Source organism: Homo sapiens, chromosome 5, assembly GCF_000001405.40.
Source record: "Homo sapiens chromosome 5, GRCh38.p14 Primary Assembly".
In the NCBI taxonomy this organism is placed as follows: domain Eukaryota; kingdom Metazoa; phylum Chordata; class Mammalia; order Primates; family Hominidae; genus Homo; species Homo sapiens.
This window is the reverse complement of record NC_000005.10, coordinates 35418963-35421382: the sequence shown is the minus strand read 5'-3', so window position 1 is coordinate 35421382 and position 2420 is coordinate 35418963. Positions and strand designations below refer to the sequence as shown.

Here is a 2420-nt window from a genome sequence, read left to right as displayed (position 1 = left end):
TCAGCATTTATTGAAGAGACTGTCCTTTCCCCATTGTGTGTTCTTGGTAACTCTGTCAATGATCAACTGACTGTAAATAAATGAATTTATTTCTGGGTTCTTTCTTCTGTGTCATTGGTCTTTCTTAACAAATTTTTAAGTTCATAATGTAATGTTGTTAACTATAGGCACTATGCTGTATAGTGTATCTCTAGAACACATTCATCTAAAACTTTATCCCATTAAACAACCCTCTCTTTCTTCCTCCCCCCAGCCCCTGGCAACTACCCAAGAAGGAAGAAGTAAAATGAGCTCTGTTTGGAGATTACATAATTTTACAGGTAGAAAACCCTAAAGACTCCAAAAAAAAAAAAAAAACTATTAGAATGAATAAGTGAATTTGGTAAAGTTATAGGATACAAAATCTGCATACAAAAATCAGTTGTATTTCTATATACTAATAATGAACACCTAAAAAGGAAATTAAGAAAACAATTTCATATAATAGCATGCTTAGGTATAAAGTAAACCAAGGAGGTTAAAGACTTATACACAGCAACTTTAATTCTTTTACATCTAGCTCCGCTATGCTACCTTTGAGCTCCCCCTGTGGTAAATTTCCTCTCTTAGTTTACTGCTTGGCTGTGTATCCAAGAATTCTATGACTGGGTTGATTAAAAATCCCCACTTCGTAAGTTAGAAACAACAAACAACTTTTATTTTTTTAATAACTGCTACTAATTGTGTTGTATCCAATCCTTTTTCCCACTGGACATCTATCAGAAACTTTGAAAACTCCTCAATCTGATGTTATCACTTTTCAATTAATAAAATGATCTCATTTTTACTAATTCTTATGATTTTTCATTACAGAATTATAATCTCATACCCACAGCTCTTACCTTTCCTGCTAATGTGATGAAGCCAGCTTGAGACAGCTCACAAAAGCCTAGTGTGCATATTTCTTTCCAACTCAAAGTTCAGTGATGTGCTGTTGGAGCTTGACATTGGCCATGATGGGAGTATTTACACTATGGAAATCGTCAAATATTACAAGTCACATTTTCCTTCTAGAGAACCAGTTGTTAAACATTTACCAGCCCACCAATGCCCTGTCCCCCTCAAGACTAAAGATGTGGGTCCATTGTCAGTTTCTGTGTGTGAAGGGTGTTGAGGGGTAGGAAAAAAATATCATGGACTTAGTCTCCTATTGCTCACCCCATCCCTCCTCTGTGGCTAATAGTCTCATTTTGGTGCTGGAAGAGGGCTTTCCATTGCAAGTTAAATGTTTGCTTCTGTACTTCAATTTATGTCTTTTATGTGAACTTCTATGTTGGTGGTCATGAATTTGCCGTCACATTTCTGTTAGTCATCACAACTGACCTAGGCCTTTGTCTAGGTCTCAGGTAAGTGAGGCCCAACAGGTCCTAGTGATGTAATACAATCTCAAAGAGATTTCAAGGTACCACCCAACTCTTTGAGACTAGGTTACATATCCAAACTGATCCCAACTGTGTGCATCCCACATGAATTCCTCTGATACACACATCTCCTTGCCTCATGTTGGAGAGAACCAATATATGATGCAGCCATCATATTTTTGTACCTTCTTTTCCCAACACTGGGCCTGCAAACTCAAATAGGATCTATCTTCCTTTCCTTTCAGGAGGCAGTCCTTTTAGCTTTGCTTCCCAAACATGAAACCATGCTATTTTAGTAATCTCCAACCATGGAGCAAGGTATGAGTTCCCCTTCTTGCATATAGACATCACAAGCAATTTTCTCAGTTTGCAAATGCTGCTAACCCTAAACAAAGACCCTATGGCCTTCCCCATTACTCCTCTTATATCTCTCTTGGGCAATAGCATTCTAATCTATTTGGTCTGTCTCCCATGTGAGGACAAATATCCAGTCTCATGTTAAGAGTAAGATTTTCTTTGATGTGGTCCTTGAAGAATGTGGACACTTTATTTTCAATAGGGCACTGTTGCTGTTTACCACACCTTATTTCAATATCTCTGTTACATGTAATCTAGTAGCTCATGTTTTTTGAGCAGTGGGCATTGGACCTTACATGAACTCAATCTCAGGAGAGAAAGTCAAATTTTACTTCTATTTTATTGAACTCTGTATTGTTTGACTTCTAATATCTGATACGGTTTGGATATTTATCTCCCCAAATCTCATGTTGAAATGTCATCCCCCAATATTGGAGGTGGCCCTTTGTGGGAGGTGGCGGGTCATGTGGGCAAATCCCCCATGGTTTGGTGCTATCCTCACAGCAGTGAATGAGTTATTGCAAGATCTGGTTGTTTAAGTGTGTGTGGTACCTGCCCCTTGACTCTTGCTCCTGCTTTTGCCATGTGATGTGCAAGCTCTCGCTTGGCCTTCTGCATGGGTAAAAGCTCCCCGAAGCTTCCGCAGCAGATGCTGGTGCCATG

At 38.9% G+C, this 2420-nt stretch overlaps 1 annotated feature.

Annotated features, from left to right (window-relative positions):
• Positions 1762-2056: a silencer, noted in NCBI's record as "tiled region #11164; HepG2 Repressive DNase matched - State 9:DNaseU". NCBI's record gives its function as "represses a minimal TATA promoter and a strong SV40 promoter by Sharpr-MPRA in HepG2 cells {active_cell/tissue: HepG2}" and the evidence as "EXISTENCE:reporter gene assay evidence [ECO:0000049][PMID:27701403]".